Raw genomic sequence first — 27,275 nt, 5'->3', positions numbered from 1 at the left:
TGCTAGTTGTACAAAAACCATATTTTCTTTTAGTGGACATTTAAAAATATCTTCTATTAGCAAGGATTACATTTTATGAACTGTAATTTTTCACCTGACTCTCTTAACTTTATAAAATCCTCCCCACCAAATAGAGGTACCAACAAACACCAGAAACCAAGATTGGTGAACAATTGGTTGGCAAATTAACATTTCCTATCTTCAAAAGATGATATTTGTCTTGCTTTTTTCCCAGTCACATTTTAGTACTAGTTTTGTAGCTTCTGAGTACTTATTTTTCCAGTGATAAATCAAAAACAGAAATGATCAGCCTTACTCTCCCTCTTTTTTCTGGGGAAATTGAGAACCAGAAGAGTTAACTGACCCGCTCAGGCCTCACATGGAAACAGTAGTACAGCCAGTCCAAGGACCTGGGTCCGGGGCTCTCTCCATCATGCCTATCCCCATTTGAAGTAGCACTAAAGTGCCATTTAGTGTACTTTTTGTAAAAATTTGCTTTTCAGCACATCATCTAATATGTGCTACTTAAAACTTAATTGCCCTTTAGAATGATTTGTGATATGCCTCCTTCATTCTCTCAACAATTTTAATTTTACAAGCTAGTTTTATTATAAGCTCACCAGTTTAGGTAGAAGGATGTTCTCTTTCAGAATCTGGATTCTTCCTCTAGTAACCTCATCAGAGCTCAGGAGGAGATAACAAATCAAACATTGAGATTGAAGTTGATTCAGTCTCGTGTATGATTTGACTCAAGTATCAATGAGCTAATTAATATTTTTATCTAAAAATATTTTGTAATTGTGCCAAAGGTTGAGACTCTAGAATACTGGAGATAATTATTTTCAGACAGTAGCAACTAGTGGAACGGGATGGAGCACTTTGCAAACAATGTAATATCAATGGCTTCTTATTACAATGCCCCAGGTATGTTATTAGGTTGATGCAAAAGTAGTTGTTGTTTTGGACCATGAATTTTAAATCATTATAACTAGGCTCAAACACATCTTTATTAATCAAATAGGAACCATTACAATCAACACATTTTTGCCAACAAGAAATAAGTTTGTTTATTCCTGTAGTGTACAAATCTGTGCTTTGGGATTCGACAAACTCTTGGAAAGCATTTTCTGCATCCTTCTGATTGTGGAAATGTTTTCCCTGCAAAAAGTTGTCGCGATGCTTGAATAAGTGGTAATGGGTTGGCAAGAGGTCAAGTGAATGTGGCAGATGAGACAAAACTTCATAGCCCAATTTGTTCAACTTTTGAAGCGGTTTTGCAACGTGCAGTCGGGCGTTGTCATGGAGAATTGGGCCCTTTCTGTTGACTAATGCCAGCTACAGGCATTGCAGTTTTCTGTGCATCTTATCTATTTGCTGAGTGTACTTCTCAGATATAATGGTTTCACCAGGGTTCAGAAAGCTGTAGTGTATCTCACCGGCAGCAGACCACCAAACAGTGACCATTACCTTTTTTTGGTGCAGATTTGGCTTTGGGAAGTGCTTTGGAGGTTCTTCTCGGTCCATCCACTGAGCTGGTCATCACTGGTTGTCATATAAAATCCACTTTTTGTCGCACATCACAATCCGAGAAATTGTTCATTATTATTGTGTAGAATAAGAGAAGAAGACACTTCAAAACGACGATTTTTTTTTTATGTTCACTCAGCTCATGAGGCACCCACTTAGCCAGTTTTTTCACCTTTCCAACTTGCCTCAAATGCAAAATGACCATAGAATGATCAACATCCAGTTCTGTGGCAACTTCCGATGTAGTTGTAAGAGGATCAGCTTCAATGGTTGGTCTCAATTGGTCATTACCAACTTCCCATGGCTGGCCACTATGATCCTCATGTTCAAGGCTCTCGTCTCCTTTGCAAAACTTATTTTTTTTATTTTTTTTTGAGACAAGAGTCTCACTTTGTCACCAGGCTGGAGAGCTGTGACGCAGTCTCGGCTCACTGCAACTGCCGCCTCCCGGGTTCAAGTGATTTTGCTGCCTCAGCCTCCCAAGTATCTGGGACTGCAGCCATGTACCACCACGCCCAGCTAATTTTTGTATTTTTAGTAGAGACGGGGTTTCACCATGTTGGCCAGGATAATCTCGATCTCTTGACTTCGTGATCCACCCGCCTCCACCTCCCAAAGTGCTGGGATTACAGGCATGAGCCCCCGTGCCCAGCCACAAAACTTCTTGAATCAAGACTGCACTGTATGTTTGTTAGCAGTTCCTGGGCCAAATGTGTTGTTGATGTTGTAGGTTGTCTCCGCTGCCTTACCACCCATTTTGAACTCAAATAAGAAAATCACTCAAATTTGCTTTTTGTCTAACATCCTTTCCATAGTCTAAAATCAACATAAAATAAACAATAATTCATTAGGAAAAAATTAATAAAGCGAGAAATGCCCATTAAAATTATATGTAACATAACCACATTTAAGAATGTATTCCAGTATCAAACGGCCAATTCCAACAATGCAAAAACCACAATTACTTTTGTGCCCACCTAATCATTAATCTTAAATTGATTCATTTATTTATTAAATGAACATCTATTGAGTGCCAGCTGCTTCCATGCCCTCGTTGAGATCGTATCTAGTGGAGTTATCAAACAATAAACAAGCAAATAAAATAATTAAGACATGATAAATAATGGAAAAGAAACAAGGTGATATAATAAATAAGGATGGCCAACTTTGTGTGGGGTGGTTAGGAAAAGACCTCTCGAGGGGACATTTACACAGATTCCTGAAGGTAAGAATGAGCAAGGCATACAGAGGGCTCAGGAAAGAGCATTGCAGGCAGAGGAAACTGCAAGTGCAAAAACCCCGATATGGGAAGGGGCCGCTGTTCCTGTCTGTTAACTGAGAATATTAATATCTTCCTGCCTACTACTCATAGGAGCCCTGTGGTGATATCAGTAAATTTAAATAAAAAATGACTTAATCTGGGTTAGATCTGTATAATAGGCAGTGAAGGAGAAATTGGGGTCTTTTTCTCTACTTCTAGGAAGAAAAATTATTGGGGGATATGAGAGAAAACACAATAAAACGTTCAGAGATCTCTCTCTTGCCTTCTGTATCTTGATTTAGAGATCTGTATCAAAGACTGCATTGTATGGTACTAGTTATCAGTGTGGGAGTTCACAGAAGGCAAAGATCTTGACCTGGAGTCTTGGCCTGGACTTGACTTTGGCCTTAAAGAATGGGTAAATTTGGATCAGCCAAAAGGAGGCAGAAGAGAGTGATTTAAAATGAGAGAATGTGTAAATAAAGTTGCTAAGATGGACTGAACATGAATGAGAACTTAAGACCATGAAGACTCAAAAGCTGGAGCTGGAGCCAGAGCCAGATGGACAGAAAATAATTGAAGGGTCTGATTCATAGAGGTGGTTGAACCGTTAGTAGAGCAGATTTGACCCGATGTTAGACAACACAGGAAGTCATTATCATTTCTTGAACAAGAAAATTGTGTGGTAGAAAGTTGGTAACGTAAATACAGATTAATGGAAATGAGGAAAAATTATTAATGGAAATAAGGAAACAAGCAGGCTAAATAGGAGGACCTTCTTTTTTTTAAATCGTGCATTTCATAGTACCTGGCAATGAGAACATGGCCTATGCTCCTATCAGAGAATGAACTGCATACAAGACATTTCAAATGAGTTAACAGTGATACTTAGTGACTGATGGAGGCGGTAAATCAAAAATCAAAATGCCTGTTCACTTGAGTCCAAGGGACTGACCAGAAAATAATGTCAGTGATAGAGCTGGGGAAGTTTGCCCAGAATATTAAATGATTAATTCCATGTTGGACATGTTAAGTTTCAGAAAATAACAAGACACCCATTTTGTGATGTGTGTACACAGGTAGAAGTACTGAACTAGAGCTAAAATAGAAGGTTGAATTTGAGAATGCAAATAGGTGGTGAGAACTGAAGCCTTAGCTCTTGAGAATGCACACACATGATTAAAAGTGTGTATGTCGGGGAAGAGGCAGGTGGGGAGTAACTGACACGCACACACACACACACACACACACACACAGAGAGAGAACAAGAGAGAGGAGTCTGAATAAGTAGAAGGCACCAAAACAACAGTTGGATAAAAGCCACCTTCTTGAGGAAATACCATTATCATTATCACCATAAAAACTACAACTACCTGTTAGTGTTTACTACGTGTCTTAAAGTCTTTAAATATAATAACTTATTATTTCTTTCCACAGCCTTTAAAAAAGTAAATGCTGTTGTTATCTCCATTGTACAGATGAGGAAGGTTAGGACAGAGAAATTAGGCAAGTTGTACAAGATTGCCCAGTTTGGAGAAGCTGAGCTGAGATTCAAGCACAGGCATTGTGCTTCAAAGCCCTCAACTGTGCCATATGGTTATATCCAACTTGGTGTTTTAATTACGTGGTTTGACTTCGATCTTATGTAAGTTTCTTGAAAAGGAGTTAATTAACAGTTTTTACAAGTTGGGTAGAAACCAGAAAGTCAACAGATGGCTGGGCAGTGATTGGATAAATCCTTGTAGCAGAAGACAACATGAAATTTCTCTGGGGTAAGGCAGAGAAAGGGAAAGAAGAATATACCCTTTGCTCTACTTTTTTTTCTCCTCTCCATACACTACAAGTTATTGATACAGGGAATTGTCCCCTTTGACAAGAGTTACAATAATTTGTGGAGAAAATGGCACCTCTGTTTTTTAGCATTTTCTATATACTACAAATGTATTTCCTTATTTGTATACAAGGAATGTCAATTTATCTAAATTGACTGTCAACCAAAGTCATTTCTTTATTGACTTCCACTACTAAATGAGAGTTAGATTCCAAAAGATCTGTGGTATGCATGAGGAAAATTTTAAATTTAAAAAAAATTTTTTTTTAAGATTCCAAAAGATAGGGCTTGGGAAGTAGCCTCAACATTGGTATTACTGGATTACCTTCAGTCTGGGAGCCCAAGTGCCTGGATGTCTCAGTGGAGAGGCTCAGGACTTAGAGCAGGAGTTAGACACTGAAGCCCTTCCCTCTGGAGAAGCCACACGTGACTTCTTTGTCGATTGCTTTAGTGAATGCTTCCCCAGTGGCTGACAGAGAACTTTGCCTCCATTTTCCATGCTCTTCAGGGCTCCTCCAGCCTCTCTCACTTCTTCCTTGTTTGAGGAGGAAATGGTACGCTTCCAGTCCACCATGCTCAGTCATACGGCTTAAAGGAGAGGGGAACAGGTACCTGCTTGGTGCCACAACTATAGCAGGCCTTTCTTCAGTAAATAAGCTAGAGCTTTTCTTTGGACCTAAAACTGAGGATGGGCCTCATCTAATTAATCTTCCTAAAACACAGTTCTGCACACTAGACTTTCATTATTTTTCCATTCTAACCAGAATGAAAGTTTTAGCCTCGCATTTGTGGCCCTCCATGTTTTGGCCTGAGCTGTGGATGCCTGACCTCATTTACCAGTATCCCCTTTTTGTCAGGGAGGCTGCCCCATTCCCTGTTTATTCTGTAGGGCCCCACTTGCCGCCTTCTGTCGGGAGGAGGCTGATCCCTCAGGGATTCCCTCTTTACTTTTCAATCTTCACTCCGGTCTGTGGTATTATCGGCCCCAGTTCAATGCTGCGTACAGTTCTCATCTAAATGCCATCTCCAGCATACAGTCTCACTGAACTCACCTAGTATTTTATCTCCAGCTCTCATTATATCTGTGTTCTAGATATTTATGTGCATATAATTATCTTCCCTAGTAAACTCTGGGCAGACTCTGTACCTAATTTAACTTAGTATTTTTTATATCACTTACACTTAACATCAGAGAAAGTTAAAGCTGCAAGGGCTGAGGAGACACACAGACCTGTGATAATGTCTTTTTCAAACTTCTTTCTCTGTGCTCTAGTAAATAATAGTGCTGAAGGTAGGATAGACCAGATCTCCTGGTTCTCAGTCCGGGTCTTATCCTCCAACAACAGTGGTTCTCCCACTGGCTTGCACATTGAAATCACCTGGCGTCGCCTGTGATGCTTTTAAAATCCTGATCCAGAAGCTTACAACCATAGAAATTAGAATCTCAAGAGTAAGACGTTCACATCAGTAGCATCCAAATCTCCCCACATGATTCTAATGAGCAACCAAGATTGGGAATAAATATCCCCCAGTATGATGGCCCCTGGACCATTGTTGCTTTACTGGGTAATTCTGTTAATTTGGTAAACTTTTTGTCAGATATTAAAAGTAGAAAATACTAAAATATTAAAGTAGAAAAGTGGTAACTATTAGATAATAGTATAGTTCATCTTGTTTTGCTTGCAACAGTAGCTTACAGTTAACTGTTTGACTTTTCAGATTTTTCGAAAGAAAGCAGTGGAACTTGGGGTAAAATTGCTACCTGCATTTCATACTCCCTCTGGAATACCTTGGGCATTGCTGAATATGAAAAGGTAAAACTCTTCATTTTCAACAACATGTTTTAAGGTGAAATATTCCAGATTGTTGCCTAATAAGTATACATTAGATAGATAATTACTTATATGATACTGGTGACTAACAGACTCCACTGGGAGTCTTGAGATCTGTCTTTTTGTTGGCAGCTATTAGCTTTTCAGTGTTCCATAGCCTCAGATATGTCCCCATTGTGGGATGGCGTGACCTCAACAGAGTCATTCAGGCCAGACACGATTGGAGGTTTACACTGTTTCATAGTGACTTTGCATCAATGATACTGTCTCCATAAATACCAAAAGAGTCCCGTTATCTTTTAATTGTCATCAAAGCATTTCACTTCCAAAGAAGCAAATTCCTAAGAACCTTTATTTAAGTTCAGCTACTGGTCAGAAATATGGCAGAAATACAATATTTGGCCTAATCAGATCCCCCATAAAAGCAGCTGGTATAACGGAGACTGGGAGCACCTGTGGTTACCCAGCCCCCAGTTGTAAGAAGGGAAGGCAGCCAATGCACTCACCCAGATCAATCCAACCTTCTCATCCTCTTTGGTGGAGAACCCTGATATGCCAAGTTCTTGAGAATGTGGCTCCAATTGGAAAAGACACACACACACACACATCCCAGGCTGAACAGACTTTCTGGTGTTCTCCCAGAGAGTAGTTGGAGTTTTCATAACTTAAGCATTTCATTAATAAACGATTTTGTCTTAAGCTTCCTTCTTAACGCCTTCCTGCCCATAAGTTATTAATTGCCTGTACCTCTCTGTGATAATGATGAGACAGTGATGATAGCTATTATTGTCACTATAAAATGTGATGGGCTCTTTAGTCCTCTTACCACATATTATCCTCACAACAACCCAGTAAGGTCAATGCTGTTATCTCCATTTTACCAATAGGAAGCTCTAGTCACAGAGAGATTAATTAATTTACCTAATATCATACAGTAAGTAAATGGTAGAGCTAGAATATGTACTTAGATGTCTATACGCACATCGATGCATATGTACAAATGAAACAGCTTTCTGGTTTAGAAACACCAAGAGAATGCATAGCATGGTTTGGCAAGATTAATGCACATTTCTTCCTAATTATTTATTTTAGTGACATTCTGTCCAAATATTAATCATAAAACCATGAAATTAATCAGTTTATTTTATTTTTCCTTTAACAAATTTGTGAGATGCCATGCTTTAGTTTCATTTGTATATTATATATCTACACCTTGAAATCATCCTGTACCTATCTATAGGTGTGGGGAGTGGGGTGGGGAGAGTTCACACCTCTGGGCCATGTTAAACTGAGATATTAATCGTTCTCTATTGCAGAATGTGATGCCTCAGGATCTGTTCTTCCTTTAAGGGTCCTCAGGCTTTCTCTGTCAGCTTGAAGATCATACATGTACTGTAGGGCCTTAATGCAGGGGTGGCTCTGAGCTTGGCTTGGAAGCAGCTTGGTTTGTGTTTGGAGGCCCATGAGTATTTGACTCCTGTAGACCTTCTTTCTTACCTTTTATATCTTCAGAATTTGTATTTATAGGTAGTATTCTGACCAAGATACTACTCTCTTACCTAAAACAAGATCTGGTCACAAAAGCACCGTGCACAATTAACTCATTTTTTTCCCTACTGAGAAAAGTGTTATGGGCATAGTAGTACACTAAACTAATTGGTTATCAAAAGACCTGAATCTAGGTCTTTACAGCTACTCGAGGTTTGTCTTGCAGCAGTCATTTAAACTCTCTTGGCTAATTTGTAACCAGGAAGGTAGGTGAACTCAGTAGTTACTTTGTGAACATTTTGGGGTTCACAGACCACTTTCAGATTCCGATGAACATATGCCTCTCATAAAGTGCATATTCCTGACTACATGGATTTTTACACAATTTCCAAAAGCTAACAGTACAATGGAAGACCACCAATGACCGCCAGTTTACAATCCTAGAGCAGATGATCACTCCAGCCTTCTCTTAAATTCTGTGAAGCTAGTTTCTCTCGTTTCCTGGAAGGTAATGAAATTGGAGAAAGGCCTACTAAATCTAATAGAGGTGTGGGCTACATCTTTGCAAAAGTCGAGTCCATTTTTATGAGATGCTGATATTGCTTAATTAGTACTGGCCTCCCTTGAAATAAGCATAAGAAATTGGAATTCAAAATATACTATTTTGAAATATATTTAACTTTACTGTTTATTTCCAACTGCCAAGTAGATTTTTCCTTAGTTAAATCTATCCTTAGTGTACCATGGAGATATTTTTCAGTACATAAATACTTAATTTATTAAATTACTAAATCCTCTAGTATCTTTCATACCTATGTCTGTCAAGAATTTATTAACCAGGGCATTCAAATTTTTTATAAGACTTCATTTTGCGCAGTATTTTGCATTAGAATTTATTTAATTTCAGAGATTACAGAAAAATTGCATGTGGTGAAAAATAATGTGTCATTTTCATTTATGTATTCACTGATGTTTTGAAGTTAAACTGGATGAAATTGAGCAACCATTTGGCAGCTGATAATAATTTCTTCTTGGCAACATGCATGAATTTTTAATTATATATTGTATCCACTCTCAATCCCATTTACTAAATACCAGTGACTTACCCAAATTCACACAATAAGCACTGGCAAAATTAATAGTGATATTAGTTCACTAAAATTCCCCCTGTTCCTTTGCCTAATCAAGTACACTCCTTGAATCAGCTGTACTTCCAGCTGTGAGACTGATTTATCATCTTAAGTTTTCCTGTAGGGCAAGAAGCGACATTTCATATTTATCTACAAGATTACTTTTCAAAATGTGCTGTTGGTGTCATTTGTACATATATACTGTTTTGCGAATCACTTTATTTTCACAGTATGGTCCAAGGTATAGGGAACAGCTGGCCTAGAGCTGCTTTCGTAGTTTTGGAAGGCTGTCACCAGCAAAAGTTTCAAAGGAGTGGGGAAACATATATCTGGCAAAATCATATTTTCTTAATTACCTTCTCAGAATAAGAGAATGTAGAAAGCTGCCCAGGAGAAGAAAAAAGGAGGGCTTAAAGATGCTTTTTAGACTAGCTGTGCATTCATTGTTGACTGGCTTTGAAACTCTTGGCAAGAATTACCACTGGAGAGACACTGAATGTGCTGGCTGTAATATCATAATTCTGCTCTTCCCTCTCAATTTTGAATGTGTCTCTTTGTCAACATCTCTATGTTAACAACAGTGTGAACTTATTGGTATTATCTGTTCACATTCCTCTGGTATTCTGGTTATTGCCTAAAGATAATTGGTTTCTTTACCTTTTCTTTGTCAAAACTAAGCATTTATTTGAGTCTCTCCTGTGATAAAGATTTCTTACTAAGTCCTGGGAAGAGTTTCTACTTCTCTTCACTTTATTCAAGAAGATAACAGACATGTTCTTTCCCTCAGGGGACTCACAGCCTGGTTGGTAAAGCAGAATTTATTTTTGTGTGTTACACACTCACACATGTAATTGACAAACCTAAGATGGACCAAGGAGAGATAATAAGTACTCACCAGGTTGAATTTGAAGCAAGCAGCATTTTGAATTGGGGAGGTTTATGTATTTGGAGACAAAACATCAATAAGTCAAGTTGTATTTCAGTATTTGTGCAAGCTGAATATATGCAGAGAACCTAAATAATTCACTCATATACTACATGAGGAACTCTATCCCAAAAGCGGTTCAGAAAAAAAAATTTTAATTGTCTTTTCTGCCACATCTATTTAAATTGTTAATCCAATAAGAATTCTTAATTCAATAGATTCTGAAATTGTGATTTAATGGAAAGTACTCATTTAATAACCTAGATGCTATACAGTTCCTCACTAGACTAACATGTTTCCTTCACCAATATGATCATAGAATGAGAATGCATAAGTTACACACCTCTGCTAAAAGAAAATCATTGCCTTTCTAATATTAGGTTTTGGTAGAACTCAATTTCTCTAATGTGAAAATGTCAAAGTTTGGTGTCTATTCTTGTTATTACTATTAGCAAGAGGCCTATGCTTTTTTTTCTCGAACTTGAAGCAGAAAAATTACCTCTGTGATTTGTAAAATCAGGCATTTCACCATTTCTGTATTTGCAAAGGTAATTCAAGTCTAGGTAGAGTAGACTTAGATTTTGGGTTTTTTAAAGTGTGTTCTTAAAATAATGTAGTTAATGTTCCCATTATTCATTTCTATCACAGGGCATACAGTCTGGGCATTCCTAATAATTTTTCTGTCTTTCTTGATAAATGAGTTAGTTTTAGCTATACACTATTTTATCACTTCTCTGTATGGATTTTTCTGACGCCTGCTTGGTGTTACATTTAGTAGAGCTGTCTACAGTGTGTGCTTTTATTGCACACCATGAAGGTGTGTATAGGAAATGACTGATCTTCATTCAGACTCTCATTAGTCAGTGAGGTGATGAATGAGGCACAACCCCTCACCTGTTTTATTTCCTGCTTTGTAAAGCTTTATTTACTGACTATTCTAATTATCTGATGAAAATACATACGATGTCATTGGTTACATTACAGTTTATATTATTATAATTAAATTGCAGGTTGCTCTACTTTGACTGAAATAGGGCTTTAATTAAGAATAGTACATAGCTGCCTGTCTTCTAATAGTGAAAGATTATCCTAGGGAAGCATATAATGTGTATATTTTAAGAAAAGGTGATAGCCCCCTTGTTGGGTTTATTAATACTTTGGTGGTATAAAATGTTTAAATATTACATTATAGTTGGTTAATTTTAATAAACACAAACTATGAAAGATGATCTGATAGGTTAAATATTGTTAAAGTGTTTTCCTATATCTCCCTATGTTTTTACTTGACAGTTAAAGCATAAATTTCTGCATTATTAAATTTGCTAACAGTTTTTTAAAGTTCCTGGTTTCAGATTTGAAAGAAGTATATTATATTTTCAAATGAAGCAGAATACAATTCCATACTTTAATATAATAGAAATAATATGAAAATATCAATAAACAAATTTTCTGAACATAAGATCAAATTGATTTAATGGTGCTAGTATTCTATGAGGCAAAAATATTGCTTAATTATCCTAAAAATGTTCTGTAGCAGTGATATAAGCCTGAGTATAAAATCAGAGCTCCATCTTACACTTTATGTTTTATTTATATACTTTATGGATCTATTAAGAAGTCAGAGACAAGTTTAGAAACTGTAGAAAAGTTTTTTAAAAAGAAGTTACATCTTTCTAAGTATTTTAAGTTAACCTTCTTTATGGTTTCTTTTTCTTCCCCCAGTTGGATTTTTTTTAAATATTGGGTTCCCCACTTCCCTCTTTTATCTATTTTAATTCATTTGGCCATTTGTAGTCTTCTGGAACTAGTAATCAACAATACTTTAAGATTTTAATAGTGGTATGTAGTTATTAATGTCAAACATTAGAATATTATTACCATAGTTAAAGCTGCTATTAGCAGTCTGTCTCTGGAAAATTCACTTAACTTTTCATAAGTAAAACTAAAATAATAGCAATAATAATGCCTATCTTGACCTCATAAGGCTTTTATGGAAATCTGGTTAATGTGCAGAAGGTTAAACCTTGCAGAGTGCTATGAAACAGATGGACATTGGAATTTTTCTTAATTTATGGTTCTATTCTCAATATTTCATTATGAAAGAGTATATATGAATATGGTATATGATAAAATAGTATATATCTAGAACTGACTAACTTGGTTCTGATGTCCTTTCGTGGACATCATTTCATTTTTAAGCTATCAGTGCTCCTGACCTGTTCAAGCTGGAGTTGTATTTTCCTCTGGCAGAAAAGAGATGATGGAACCAATTGGATGTGTGGAGAGAATGTCTCAATGTGGTTTATGTAGGATAGTGGTGGCTCCGTGCTCAAGCTTTTATTATTTTTTAAATTATTTGGGATCCAACCTATAGGATCAAAACTAAATTTGCTCCCTAAAATTATATTTATTAGTGAATTATGTACTAAAAACTAGAACTGTTCAGCCGATTAGGTTTTAAAAGGATGCGAGGCAATCCAGAGTTATGTTCTTATCCTAAGTCTTACATGCTAGCTAGTGCCTAATTAATGTGGTACAAACCCAGTCTATGAAAGTGTGTGTGTCTGTCTGTCTGTCTGTTATAAATAGCCACATAGCCCTGTTTCCTAGTTCTTGGACTGTTCTGCTAAGGGTCTGACTGTTCTGGTTGCTTTGTATCAGTGACTCTCAACTTTCCCATGCCTCAGAATAACTGGGATTCTAATATATATATACACACACATATACACACACACACACACACACACACATACATACACACACACACATACACAAACACACACACACACACACACACACATATAATTGCTGCCTTCATCTTTCCCTTCCCCCAGTCTGTTTCAATTGGTTTGGGGATAAAATTCTGGCATTTTTTAAAAACCTCCCAGGACATTCTAATATTCAGCTAGGGTCAAGAATCATTGTTTTAAATCCAGCATTTATATGCTGAGGTTAGCTTTATTTCTCATCTCAGTTGCATTTGAAAACATTGGGTTTAAAACGTTTCCCTATTCACTGATGGTCAATTTAATTATTGAAATTTTAAAATCCTAGAAAATTACTTTGAAAATACCCAGCTTTAATAGAACAGTGCTTCTCAAACTTTAGAATATATAACAATTGCCAGGAGAGATCATTAAAACATAACATTGCTGGATCATAAGCAGAGAGCCTGATTCTGTAGGTATTTACTAAGAATTGATAATTTGCTTTTCTAACCAGATTCCAGCTGATGGGGAAGCTACTGCTGCTGCTGCTTGCCCAACGACCACACTTTGAGAACCACTGTAATAAGAAATGACTGAGCCATCAGAGCCATGTAGTTAAATCTCAGAGCCGTTCAGTGAGGCAGCCAGGTCCACTGTTGGGGAAGCAGGAGTAGGGCCTGTGTTCTGTTTCTATCATTTGTTTACTTTCATTAATAGTTACACAAAGTTTCCACTTAACTCTAAGCAGTTTGTTGCTTCTTCTGGAAAGCAGCCAATTCCAAGCAGTAATTACCCAAACAGAGTTTGCATGTCCTTTTTCCCCTTGTACTTTTTTTTTAATCCAGTGAGACTAGAAAGTAAACTTTAGGCATTTTTAGCATAGAGGGGAAAAAATAAGCATTTTTAATTAGAAACTTCTGGGTTACTGTTTAAAAGTAAAGCTATTTCCATAAAGTCACACTTTGTAGCTTCAGGCAAAATGGCTTTACTATAAACAGCTGGTAACCTGGCCCTGTACCTAAGGGTACTGTGAAGAATGAAGCAGAATCAGGGATTACCCTCCCACCAGATGAGCAGGAGGGAACAGAGGTCACTTCTGTGATCATTTAATCCTGTCACCAAACTTTGGATCACTACAGCTCTGCCAGGCACTCAATACCTTGACCAAACTAAGGACATTTATTTATTGCAAGTGGACAGTTATAACAGGATAGCAACACTTAATTTAAATGTACTTTGTGTATAGCCACCTTTATGGAGACATTACGGACAAGGAAGTCTGAACAAAGGATGTTCTTAGTCATGCATTGTGAGGCGGTAGGAATTTGAAGAACCTCAGGATGCCTGAACCTCAGGATGCCTGAACAGTTTCCTTTCTTCCCACTTCTCTGGTCATAATTGAAGTTAACACTCAGGTAAATGGGTTTTTTAAGTGTTTTTTATTCTCTGAAGGCAGGAGCAGACCATATCTGCCTCTGAACACAGGCTGTAGCGGTCCTCATTTCTTCTGCACCCCACCCTCCCGCCTTTTCCTTGAATTTCCATCTGCTCAGGCTCCTGCTGTGTTTCTGATAGGGCAAGAGCAGGAAATTGACATGAATGGAATGACCAGGTTCACGTTTTACTCAACAATAAATTAGATATTTTAAAATATTTTTCTATACTTTCAGAAAGTTCTACAATTTAAGGGTAAATTGTAGCATATGAATAATTAAAGTGGAAAAATTTATCCAAGGTGATGTGTAGAGAATTTAGAGGCAGTTTATCCCGAGAGTTGCTTAAATCCCTTTTTAAATGACTTGTATGTGGGAAGTCTGTTAAGAGGGCTTCCTCACCCTTCAATTTTGGGCAAATAGAACCTTGGTTCAAAGCAGATGGGACTGGATTGTTAAATATGACCACTACTTTTCCCATAGCATCTACCACAGTTTAAGCAGTTAACTCACCAGGAAAATTTCATGTAAGGACAATTATAGTTATTTTAATGCAACAATTTCAAAGTGGCTTTCATCTCAAGTTTTTCAAATGCACAGAACTAGTGTTTTACAGATTCAGCTTTGTTCACTCTGTTCACACAATTGGTTGCGAATCAGCCTCAGCAATTTGAAATTTATGCTGTGTACAGAACTTAGATTGGGAACAAGTCAGAATGCGTAAATTCATATACCTCCCTCACAAGCTAACAATGGAATAATCTTTTCAAGGAATTGAATTCCCCAGGTTTTTAATGACCCAGCAATCAATTTTCCTGTGATTAATCTCAAAACTGGTCTTACGTTGTTATTGTGGGACAAACCTTTCAAATATCTAATTAGTAAAGTTTAATTTTAAAATTTATGAAATAGTTTGAATACATGGTTGAAAATCAGCGCAGGTATCAAGGCACTTTATCAGCCCTCATAATTGTTAATCATTGTAAATATTCAACTAACTACATTGAATCTTTGGGAATTGGAGGGTCAATATAAAATATTTAGGCTACAGCCAATAGTTTTAAAGGCCTCACAGTCTCAGTGGATACATTAACTACTCCATGTTTCCTGCTTGTGCAGTAATAGTTATAGTTGATATGTTCTGAAAAATGGGATGAAGAATTATTAATTGCAGTTCTTTTTATTAACTAGAGAAAAAAAGTGATGGAGCAATACTGAGAATTAATTGTAATTTACAAATCTGGAAATTAATGTGCAGCTGCGCGTAAGTACAGGCAGTGCAATTTGGTGATTTAGCAATCATGACAAATTATCTTCATCTATAAGGTGGAGAATTGTTAGGATTCCTTTATTCATCTTTTAATAATAGACCCAGTTTCAGGCCGGGTGCGGTGGCTCACGCCTGTAATCCCAGCACTTTGGGAGGCTGAGGCGGGCGGATCACGAGGTCAGGAGATCGAGACCACGGTGAAACCCCGTCTCTACTAAAAATATAAAAAATTAGCCAGGCGCGGTGGCAGGTACCTGTAGTCCCAGCTACTCTGCAGGCTGAGGCAGGAGAATGGCATGAACCCGGGAGGCGGAACTTGCAGTGAGCCGAGATCCCGCCACTGCACTCCAGCCTGGGCGACAGAACAACACTCCGTCTCAAAAATAATAATAATAATAATAATAGACCCAGTTTCAGGAAGACTTTATGTGAATGCTCATGTTGCCCTTTTATCCTGAAAATGTGAGTGGGAGTTTAACATTATAAATTAAATCTTGCTTCCCCTCTTTGTCATGTCATGCTATAGTTTTTATGGAACATTTGTACAAAACAGTGATTACTGCATATGTTGAATAATCTTAAGATGCTACTGAGAGTTTAATGTACCTTGTAAATTGAGAGGCTTCCAATTAAGTCAAGTTCTTAAGATAATCACTTTCAAAACTGATCAAGTAATAGGACATTAGTAAAGCTCTTATTGACTTAATTGTGACAAATTAATAAACAGACCCTGTGCAATTACTATAATGGTGAACAGTTTTTCAAAATTTAAGCATAAATCTATTCTAACCCCCCAAAGTACATTAAAAACTATATATGCCATTTTAAGATGGGTATCATTTCAAATAGCTGTGTTCGAGTTCATTATACAAGTAGTATGAATTTGTATGTTTCTTTCTTTTAAAATATGATTACATTTGTTTATTTCAAAGGTCAATTAATCTACTTGCAAAGCCCTTAGAGCATATAATTTTACAAGAGGTCTTCCGTATGCCATGGACAAAACAATTACATGTTCTTATGTGTTCTCTCATCTCTACTTTTATTATGTCCTGTGTCCTTGGTGTTATCTCTTCACTGAGAACTATAGAATATCTTGTCTTATTGTCTCTTTGTCCCCTTTGGGGACAAAGTCAGCATGGTACCTTTTTATACATTGAAAAATGAATCAATTATGAATTACATATTTGCCATAATTTTTAATATCTGACAGTGCCAATTCCTATAACTGTGCTGACTGTGTTTAAGAAAAATCAGCAGAAAAGAAAAGGCAGAAAGAGCAGGGATGTAAGTCTTGCTTCCATCACTTTAAGAATAATGTGACAGTTACATATATTTGCCTAGGTCCATCTAACTGTGTGTATTTAAAGTGCTGTGCTTTATTGAATATAACTCTATCTTTTTAAGTGTGATCACATATCTTTTTTTATTTAAAAAAAATGTAGCATGCTACCCAGCCATTAGTCAACATACCTTGTTTAAGCATGGATTTTCTTATTTGTTAAAGTAGGACTAATAAGTAGTATCAGTTTTACAAAGATCACATTTATGACAGGACCTAGAAAGTTGAGGAGCTGAGCAATATTTTACACCCAAGAGAATGGATCATTATGGAATTTCAGGACTTCATACAGGTTGCTGCCAGCATAGTGCCCATCCAGATTTCCTGAAATCATCAAGGGGCCATCCACACTATGTTTGATTTAGACCTTAGCCAGAGAGGGAGAGGGAGAGGGAGAGGAGAAGAAAAGAAACGCAAGACAAAACCAAAAAGCAAAAAAGGAGGAAGTATTACTGACTGACGGCAGCAGTGACTCCCTCTTAAAAGTACCACGGACGCAAACTCGCAGTGGGGCTGAAAAAAATGTAGGAGAGGGAGTTCCGTGTGGTCCAGGGATTACAGGTGTGAGCCACCACCACACCTAGCCAATAATGAAGTTTACTGCTTTAATTCTTCCCTTCATGAAAGATTTCTCTGTAACATGTGATACTCTTTTATGGCATTTTCCACACGGTAAAACTTCTTTCCAATTTGGAGTCAGTCTTCTCAAACCCTGCTGCTGCTTTATCACTGTGTTTATGTAACATTCTTAATCCTTTGTTGTCATTTCAACAGTGTGCACAGTGTCTTCACCAGATCCCATCTCAATAAACCATTTTCTTTACTCCTCCATAAGAAGCAACTCCTCATCCATGAAAGTTTTATCATGAGATGGTAGCAATTCAGTCATGTCTTCAGGCCCCACTTCTAATTCTAGTTCTCTTGCTATTTTACCACATCTGCAGTTACTTCCTCCACTGAAGTCTTGAACCCCTCAAAGTCATCCAGGAGGGTTAGAATGGTTAGAATCAACTTCTTCCAAACTCCTGTTAATGTTGATTTTTTTTTTACTTCCTCCCATAAATTACAAATGTTCTTAATGGCATCTATAATGGCAAATCTTTTCCAGAAGGCTTTCAATTTGCTTTGCCTAGATCCATCAGAGGAATCACTGTCTATGGCAGCTATAGCCTAATGAAATGTACTTTTTAAATAATAACACTTGAAAGTCAAAATTCCTTTTTTTTTTTTTTTTTTTTGAGACAAAGTCTCACTTTCTCGCCCAGGCTGGAGTGCAGTGTCACGATCTTGACTCACTGCAACCTCCACCTCTCAGGTGTAAGCCATTCTTCTGCCTCAACCTCCCGAGTAGCTGGGATTATAGGCACCCACCACCCCGCCTAGCTAATTTCTGTGTTTTTAATAGAGATGGGGTTTCACCTTGTTGGCCAGGAGGTCAGGAGTTCGACACCAGCAAGTGATCCACCTGCCTCAGCCTTCCTATGTGCTGGGATTACAGGCGTGAGCCACCACACCCAGCTCAAAATTACTCCTCAATCCATGAGTTGCAGAACAGACATTATGTTAGCAGGCATGAAAACGTTAATCTCCTTGTACATCTCCATCCAAGCTTTTGGGTGACCAGGTGCATTGTCAATGAGCAGTAATATTTTGAAAAGATTCTTTTTGTCTGAGCAGTAGGTCTCAACAGTGGGCTTTAAATATTCAGTAAGCCATGTTATAAATATATGTGCTATCATCCAGGCTTTTGTCTTCCATTTATAGAGCACAGGCAGAACAGATTTAGCATAATTCTTTTTTTTTTTTTTTTTTAGACGGAGTCTTGCTCTATCATCCAGGCTGGAGTGCAGTGGTACAACCTCAGCTTACTGCTCCACCTCCCTGGTTCAAGCAATTCTCCTGACTCAGCCTCCTGAGTAGCAGGGATTACAGGAGCACACCACCACACCTGGTTAATTTTTTGTATTTTTAGTAGAGATGGGGTTTTGCCATGTTGGCCAGGCTGGTCTCAAACTCCTGACCTCAAGTGATCCGCCCACCTTGGTCTCCCAAAGTGCTGGAATTACAGGCGTGAGCCATCACACCCAGCCAGATTTAGTGTAATTCCTAAGGGCCCTAGGATTTCTGGAATCATAAAGTCACCAGCTGCATTTAGACCCTAACAGGAGAGTCAGCCTGTCCTTTGAAGCTTTGAAGCTAGGCAATGATTTCTCCTCTCTAGCTATGAAAATCCTAGATGGCATCTTCTTCCAGCAGAAGGCTGTTTCATCTACATTGAAAATGTGTTAGTGTGGCCACTAACACATTTTAGTGCGGTAGTCTTAGCCAAGTCTTCTGCACTTCTAGCACTTGCTGCTTCACCTTGCACTTCTATGTTACAGAGACAGCTTCTTCTCTTCACCTTCATGAACCAACCTCTGCTAGCTTCAAACTTTTGTTGTACAGATTCTTCACTTCTGTCAGTCTTCGTAGAATTAAAGAGAGTTAGGGCCTTACTCTGGAGTAGGTTTTGGCTTAAGAGAATGTTGTGGTTGGTGTGATCTTCTGTCCACACCACCTAAAACTTTCTCCATATAGCCATAAGGCTGTTTTGCGTTCTTATCATTCATGATTTCGCTGGAGCTTTTAATTTCCTTTAACTGTTTGGCACAAGAGGCATAGCTTTTGTTCTGTTTTCACTTTTGATATGCCTTCCTCACTAAACTTAATCATTTCTAGGCTTTTGATTTAAGGTGAGAGGCATGCGATTCTCACTTTCATGTGAACACTCAGAGTCCATTGTTGGGTTATTAATTGGCCTGATTCCAATATTGTAGTATCTCAAGGAATGGAAGGTCCTGAGGAGAGGAAGAGAAATGCGAAACAGCTGGTCAGTGGAGCAGCTCAGAACACACATGCTTACAAGTTAAGTTCATCATTTTATGTGGACGTGGTTGGTGGCACCCTAAAACACTTAGAATTGTACCATCTGATCACAGATCACCATAACAGATATCATCATAATGACAAAGTCTGTAATGTTGGAAGAATTACCAAAACTTGACAGAGACACAACGTGAGCACAGGCTGTTAGAAAAATGGCACCAATAGACTTGACACAGGGTTGCCACAGACCTTCAATGTGTAAAAAACACAGTATCTGTGAAGTGCAATAAAGCAAAGTGCAGTAAAATGAGGTATCCCCGTATGTAAATTTTTTAAATGTATAATTTTTAATATGTAGAATTATGTGGCTGGGTGTGGTGACTCATACTCTGTCATCTCAGTACTTTGGAGGCCGAGGCAAAAGGATTGCCTGAGCCTGGGAGGTCAACAGCAGCCTAGGCAACAAAGCAAGACCTCGTCTCTACAAAAAATTTCAAAAATTAGCCGGGCATGGTGGCACATGCCTGTAGTCTCAGCTACTCGGGAGGCTGAGGTGGAAAGATTGCTTGAGTCCAGGAGATCAAGGCTGCAGTGAGCCATGATTGTAAGACTGCACTCCAGCCTAAGTGACAGAGTGAGACCCTGTCTCTCAAAAAAAAAAATTTTTTTTAATGTTTATTTTGCATACATACACACACACATATACAAACACAATTCTTAAAAATGAGTTCAGAAACTCCTGAAACTTTTCCTCTGGAAGATTTTAAAATAAGGTAGAAAAACTCAATTTTTAAGTTAAATGCAAACATGAATTTTAAAGGTGAACCACTTTCACAAATATTTTCATTAAATTTAGTTTCCAAGTAATCTTTTCTTAGAATGAGTTTCTTTCAAAATGCAGATTTGTTCTATTGTTAAATTGTCACCTCCTTTATCTTGAAGTGGGAGATCAAGTGTGTTGTTTTCTTCTTTTCAAATTATCTGGTAGGAAGCATACTTGCTGACAACCACTTGTCACAGAAAAAAAATCAGCAAATGTGGGGATACCTTTCTATTTTGTGAAATGACAACTCTTGATTAAATACTTTGCCTCAAGACAATCCAAAAATCTGTTTGGTGCAGATATTATTGTGGTCACTGTCCAGCTCTTTACAAAGTATTGTGATAATGTAATAATTCTACTGTGCAAAGGTTTTGGATTTTAAAATTAATTGCATTGGTGGCACTCTATAACTCATAATCCGCAATACATCAAAAGCCTCTGAAAGCTGTAGAACAGTGAGGGTCCCATTGCCAACTTCTTATTGTGGAGTCTCTGCAAGAATCTCTAGCATCTCTTGTGTGTCACCTTTCACAGAAGCACCAAGGGATGGGAGCAATGTATGTCTGAAGATTTAAGAAAGCCTTTTTTCTTGCTTTTAGATTTAAGAATTAGCAGCTTTGATAGTTTCCTCTTGTACCCTGTGCTTATTGCACTCTAATTAAGAGTCCTGCATTTGGCTTCAAAGGCTGCTGCCATAAACAATAAATATCTAAATGTCATTCACCTTTAAGCCCAGACCAGTTTCTTATCATCTGACAGTTTATAATGGGCATATTGTCTCATTACATTAAGTGGACTTTGATCCTCTTTAGATTACTCTTGAGAATATTTTTTTAATTGGCTTAAAGGAAAATTCTAAATTATTTTTAACTAGATGTAAATATTACAAGACTAAATTTGCGGCACACTCTTATTTGTATTAATTTTCTCCACTTTAAAGTAGGCCAAACTGTGTTCATGTGCCCAGAGAGGTTATTGATTAGATAAAGAGGTTTTCTTAGGTGGTTTTCATGTGAAATCGCTTGGAAAGTACTTAAACACATTACTCTCTAATATTGGTTGGGTAAGCAATAAAGTGGTGGAGGGTGTCAATCTGTACTAAAAGAGTGATAAATGAACAACATATTTGGTGCTAGTATCCAAAATTTTTGCTAGATTCAAAGGGATTCAAATTATAGAATTCACTAATCTGAGTTTCTGAGTCTAGTGAGCAAGAAAGTGATAATTTCATATTTATGTTTGATAAAGAAGTTTCAAAAAATGGAATTTGTGGTGTAAGCATAAGCACTATATAGAATAATCCTTAAGAATTATAAATTTGCTTTTCAAGTTTTTCTAAAGAAGGGAAAATAGGTCCCTTTTCAAACTGAAGACGTTACAAAATACATTATTGTGTTGATTCTAAAGGAAAACAGAGTAAAAGAGAAGAGGCAGGAGTCAGGAAAATTATGAATTTAGAAGCTATAGGCAGCCAGATAAGCTAATATTAGTGCCTTATGCTTCTGTAATTTTCTATAGCCTACAAGGATTTCCAAATATACACACACACACACACACACACACACACACACACACACATATATATGTGTATATATGAAATCTCATTAATTTGATTTAATCTAATCTGGTACAAGCATGAATATCCAATTTTATAATTTGAATTTCCTTTTGAAATAGTTTGGAACTATTGGAACCGAAAGAAATAATTTTATGCTTTTAAACTTCCCAATACTCAGGGCAAAGGCAGGGAAGATAAAATTATCTTAGTATTTTATTGGCATTGTAGGCTATCACTCATTGGCATTGTAGGCTATCACTCTGTCTATTTGTAGTATATTGATCATTAAGTAATTCCAATGTTTTTCTTTTTTTTTTTTTTTTTTTTGAGACAGAGTCTCGCTCTGTCGTCCAGGCTGGAGTGCAGTGGTGTAATCTTGGCTCACTGCAAGCTACACCTCCCAGGTTCACTCCATTCTCTTGCCTCAGCCTCCCGAGTAGCTGGGACTACAGGTGCCCACCACCACGCCCGGCTAATTTTTTGCATTTTTTAGTAGAGACGAGGTTTCACTGTGTTAGCCAGGATGGTCTCGATCTCCTGACCTCGTGATCCGCCTGCCTCGGCCTCCCAAAGTGCTGGATTACAGGCGTAAGCCACCACGCCCAGCCTCCAGTGTTATTTTTAAAAGTTTTCCATGGGTCAGGTTGAATTCTACGTACCTACCAGAACTATATTTCACCAGTAATCCTAGGGTTTGATATATACAACCACCTTTCATTAAGCTTATTCTCACTATTTAAAGATAAAAAATAAATGTAAAGTTCAAAATCTTTCTCTAAAGAGTTAAAAGTGGCAACTATATACATAGCACCTTTCTTGCCTGGATGTGAAAGCTAGGATTATAGAACCTGAATTCTTTTAAACATGTTTTGTTAGAACTGATTCTCCTTCCTTTATGCCATCTTTTTGACTCCACTGCTCTTCTGTCTTCTCCCCGTCTTTGTGATCATGTGATCAAACGTGAAACTATATTCAGTGAGAGCCTCAGTGGTAAGAGTGAAAGCATTTCCCCCCAGTCCAGGGGCTTCATCCTTCCTTCAGTGCCTTGGCCAGGCCCTCAGGGAATGAGGAGACCTTTGCTCTTCCCTCCACCTTGTCCTGACTCCTCAAGCCTCCAGCCTTGAGGAGGCTTCTCTAGATGAAAGCTCCTCAGTAATTGTATTAGTCTGTTCTCACACCGCTATGAAGAAAAACCCAAGACTGGGGAATTTATAAAGGAAAGAGATTTAATTGACTCACAGTTCCGCATTGCTGGGGAGGCCTCAGGAAACTTAAAATCATGGTGGAAGGCAAAGGAGAAGCAGGCACCTTCTTCACAGGGCGGCAGGACGGAGTGAGTGGCAGCAGAGGAAATGCCAGATGCTTATAAAACCATCAGATCTCATGAGACTCACTATCACAAGAACAGCATGGGGGAAACTGCCCCATGATCCAGTGACCTCCGCCTGGACCCACCCTTGAGACGTGGGGATTATGGTGATTATAATTCAAGATTCATTGTCTCAAAACATATTAGCACTCTGCTTTTCATACTTTTTCCCTTTAATCAAGAATCTTTAATAGTTTTCCAAAAGCTTCAGGGCTTGTCTTTAAGTAGGCACTGCACTCTGTAACCCTATGTTCATCCACATGTAGCCCCTTTGAAGGACTTTACCTCCAACAAAACCCTGCTATTTTTAAAGGTTCAGTTGTGTCATCTCATCTGTGAAAGATGTCATCATCTCTTTCTCTCATCCTTGTCCCTTCCCCACTTTGGAAAAGTAATCACCACCTCCTTCTCATAACACTTGGTTTCCCATTGCCAGTATAAGCTATACTATGGAGTTGAGGGACTCCACAAAGTTCCATTAATACATAACTGTGTTGAAGGCAAGAAAATGAAAGCTCTTGGGAGAATTAAAAAGTAATATGTTCACTTGGGGTTTTTTCCCCCTAAAACAAAAAAATGTTCATATTCAGGAAATATCAGGTGAACACCCTTCTCCTAGATCCTGGACCAGGTGCAGGAGATAAGTGGTAAACGTTTTCTTGGTGACTCTCACAGAGTTTATAGTCTAGGGAAGAGACAAACATTAGTTAATCACAAAAACATTTCGAATTGCAGGATGTGAAGAAGTCATTTTTGAGCTGGGATCAAGGGGATGTGTAGATGAGAGCTAGGGGAAGAGAAGAGAGTGGATGGTCCAGGCAGCAGAGCATGTGGAGTGTCAAAACTCTGTATTGAAAAGGAACAGGACAAGGCCAAGAGGCTGAAGGATGGCAAAGCCCCCTGGGGCAGAGAGCAGCAGGCTGGAGAGCGAACACTGACAGACTCTGTGGTGGGGTCTCAGGTTTGTCTTGGCATCAGTGGGAAGCACTCAAGGTCCTGAGGAGGACATGGTCGTGTTTGTGTTTAATTAATTCAGGTTCCTGCTCATCCCTGTCTCAAGAGCCATAAAGCATTATGACCAAATCATGCCAGCTATCAGGAGCGATCGTTTTAGATTGTCATGTTTTACCTCTTTGATATTTGTTTACCTTTTCCCAAAAACACAAGCCTGCAATGCAGGTTCCTAGCTGGATAGGCCCTTGAAATGTTGGGTATAGTATTAAACTCTGGTTGGTCTCCTGGAATTGGTTTCACCATCAAGCAGTAAAGATTTCATTTGAGATCATCTGTCATCAGATCATTTGACTAGAAACTGCTACCAAAACAAAGGCCTGACTTGTGAGAAAGAGCAGGTATTTGACACAGCTAGCAAGTTTGTATTTTTTAGTTCTGTTCACTTGTTTCAGATAGTCAAAAATAACTTTAAAAAAAGAATCTTCCTTTAATTTGAAGAAGAGAATGTCGTGTAAAATGGGTTCAGGTTCACAATTGCTACAGCTTAGAATGAGTCCAGTTACCAAAAAACTGAAGTCAGAACGGGCAGATATATGTACATATCTTTATCTGTTTGTTTTCTTTATTTTTAAAACAGAGAAGAGGGGATTGCCTGAGTTGAAAACATGACAGAGGGATTAGCACTGTAGGAAACCAAGAGAAAGGTTCATGAAAAATGAAATGTTCTGTGCTAGTATTGTTAAAGTATTTACACTCAGAGGACATAAGTGGATGCCATTGATTTTCAGTCAAAAATGCTTGAAGCTCAACTGCATTTGTGAAATATATACCTACATATTTAAGCTAACATAACAATTTATAGATAAGTAATATTTCCCAAATTGCATTACCCAGAATATTATGTCCATGAAATATTAATTGATGATCTATGAAAAGAAAACAGCTCTATAGATAAATAAGTTTGTCAACACTGGATTTAAAAGGTTTCATTACTGTAAACTTCTCAGAACTATTAACTGGCTAATGTGCAATGTACATTGCTCATCTCTGGGATGGAGCTTTATTATAACACTGCTTCCCAAACTTTTTTCACCATGGAACCTCTTTTATCCAAAACAATTATTAGTATTTCTGATCTGCATTTTTTGTTTTTTTTTTTTTTGTCTCAGAACACAGTTTGATAGTCACTGATTCTGATAATTGTTGTTATATGTCCTTCAAAATAGTCATCTTAATATCATTACCCTAGTAATAAAGTTCTTGCCTCAAATATATTTGAAAATAATTTGAGGTAAGTCATTTATTACACGTGTATACTAGTTACTAATGAGAATACTCTGTGGTGTGTTATATGAAATCTTAAAAAGTACCCACTGCAGAAAATTAGCATTATTGCTGTGTTTATGCTTCTTTTTAATAAAAATAAAAAAGCAGGCTTCTGTTTGCCCTCAATGAGAGAATTGAACGCTGGGAGGCCAAGTAGTGAGAACAAGGGAGGGTCACACAGAGTTACACATATGAAGTTTTGCAATGGGCCGCTATATAAGGGCCCACACTTTTTATGCCTATATTTTGTCATTTTTTAAAAAGTATAAGATTGACATACTATAATTATAACTATTTATTTTCATTTATGGATAGGTACATAATTTGTATCTTTATTTAGAAAAATTCTAACATTTCCTTCCAAATTTGTTTTTTTAAGTTCTTCAGATTTATTCTGAATTTCATATCATTGTGGCTAAGAAATTAGGGGTTTTTCTTTAAAAAAAATAGTTTTCTAAAAGAGTCTGAGCTATTTTGTGATAAAAATTTAGGATGTATAGTCATAGAATTCTTTTTCTGAATTACAAGGGTCTTTTGTGTTCTAATAACGTATTCCATTATGTATATTTGAATGGCAAGTCTAGATGGTTGAGTTTCTCAGTGAAAAATTTGGTGAAAGAATTATTAAGATTTTTGAAAATTATCACTATATATTATTAAAGAAAACCCTAAGTCAATAATACCACAATGTCATGATATTTGCATTATGATCATTTGTGTTACCCAAAGCTTCGGATTCATTATAAACACATGAAATACCACTAGGGTTGGAGTGAAGTTAATCACATTCTTTGCTCTTAAACTAAAGGTAAAACTTTCTTCAGTTAAGTTATTGAGGAATAAATATGCTGGTGAACAATCAATAAGTAATTACTACAAAACTGTATTACAGGGGTCTCTCTGAACCATATCCCTTTCACAAGTCTAATAAATTTCAACATTGTTTAACTTTTAGTTGAATATGTTAAACTAAGAACTAGGATATAAAATGTTTTGTTTCTTGTCTCTTTTTCTCTCCAGTAAATACTTTCATATTTTTTAAAAAGTTTTGGTTTCCTAAGCATTTCAATGAACAGAGCAATGAAATATTATTGCAGATGTATTTCTCTATATATAGTGCATTCTCTTAAAATTTTAGTGAGTAAAACTTTTTGTTAAATTCACTTTATAAAACAGTTTCTTTTTTCTGATTATAGAAAAATTTTCATGGGAAAAAATAATCACTCGAAATTTCAATCCGATGTTAACATATGCATCACTCAATTCTCATTTTTAAAAAACAGGCCAAGTGCAATGACACATGCCTGTAATCACAGCACTTCAGGAGGCCAAGGCAGGAAGATAGCTTGAGTCTAGGAGTTCAAGACTATCCTGGGCTATGTAGTGACACCTCATCTCTATAAAACATTTAAAAATAGCTGCTCATGGTGGTGTGCACCTGTGGTCTCAGCTACTGGAGAGGCTGAGGCAGGAGAATTGTTTGAGGTCAAGGCTGCAATGAGCCATTATTACACCACTGCACTTAGCTTGGGCAATAGACTGAGACCATGTCTCAAAAACAAACAAAACAATGAAATTGTATACTTCCGTTCCATTCGTTTTTGCTTTGTATCCACTTTTTGGAGGCATAATT

The 27,275-nt window shown here is 37.4% G+C and overlaps 1 protein-coding gene across 4 annotated transcripts in view; it reads left to right on the top strand.

Moving 5' to 3' along the window:
• MAN1A1 (mannosidase alpha class 1A member 1) overlaps positions 1 to 27,275 on the top strand; it is a 173,401-nt gene that overhangs the window by 95,913 nt on the left and 50,213 nt on the right. For 3 of the 4 annotated variants that reach the window (XM_005266986.5, NM_005907.4, XM_011535833.3), the window contains one exon: positions 6,339 to 6,433. The exons of the other annotated variant lie outside the window; for it this stretch is intronic. In XM_005266986.5, coding sequence (XP_005267043.1) covers positions 6,339 to 6,433 — 95 coding nt within the window. The remainder of the gene's footprint in view (positions 1 to 6,338; positions 6,434 to 27,275) is intronic. 4 annotated transcript variants of the gene reach the window in all.

This window comes from Homo sapiens, chromosome 6, assembly GCF_000001405.40.
Source record: "Homo sapiens chromosome 6, GRCh38.p14 Primary Assembly".
In the NCBI taxonomy this organism is placed as follows: Eukaryota; Metazoa; Chordata; class Mammalia; order Primates; family Hominidae; genus Homo; species Homo sapiens.
The sequence above is the reverse complement of the archived record's forward strand: the minus strand, read 5'-3'. Positions and strand labels throughout refer to the sequence as shown.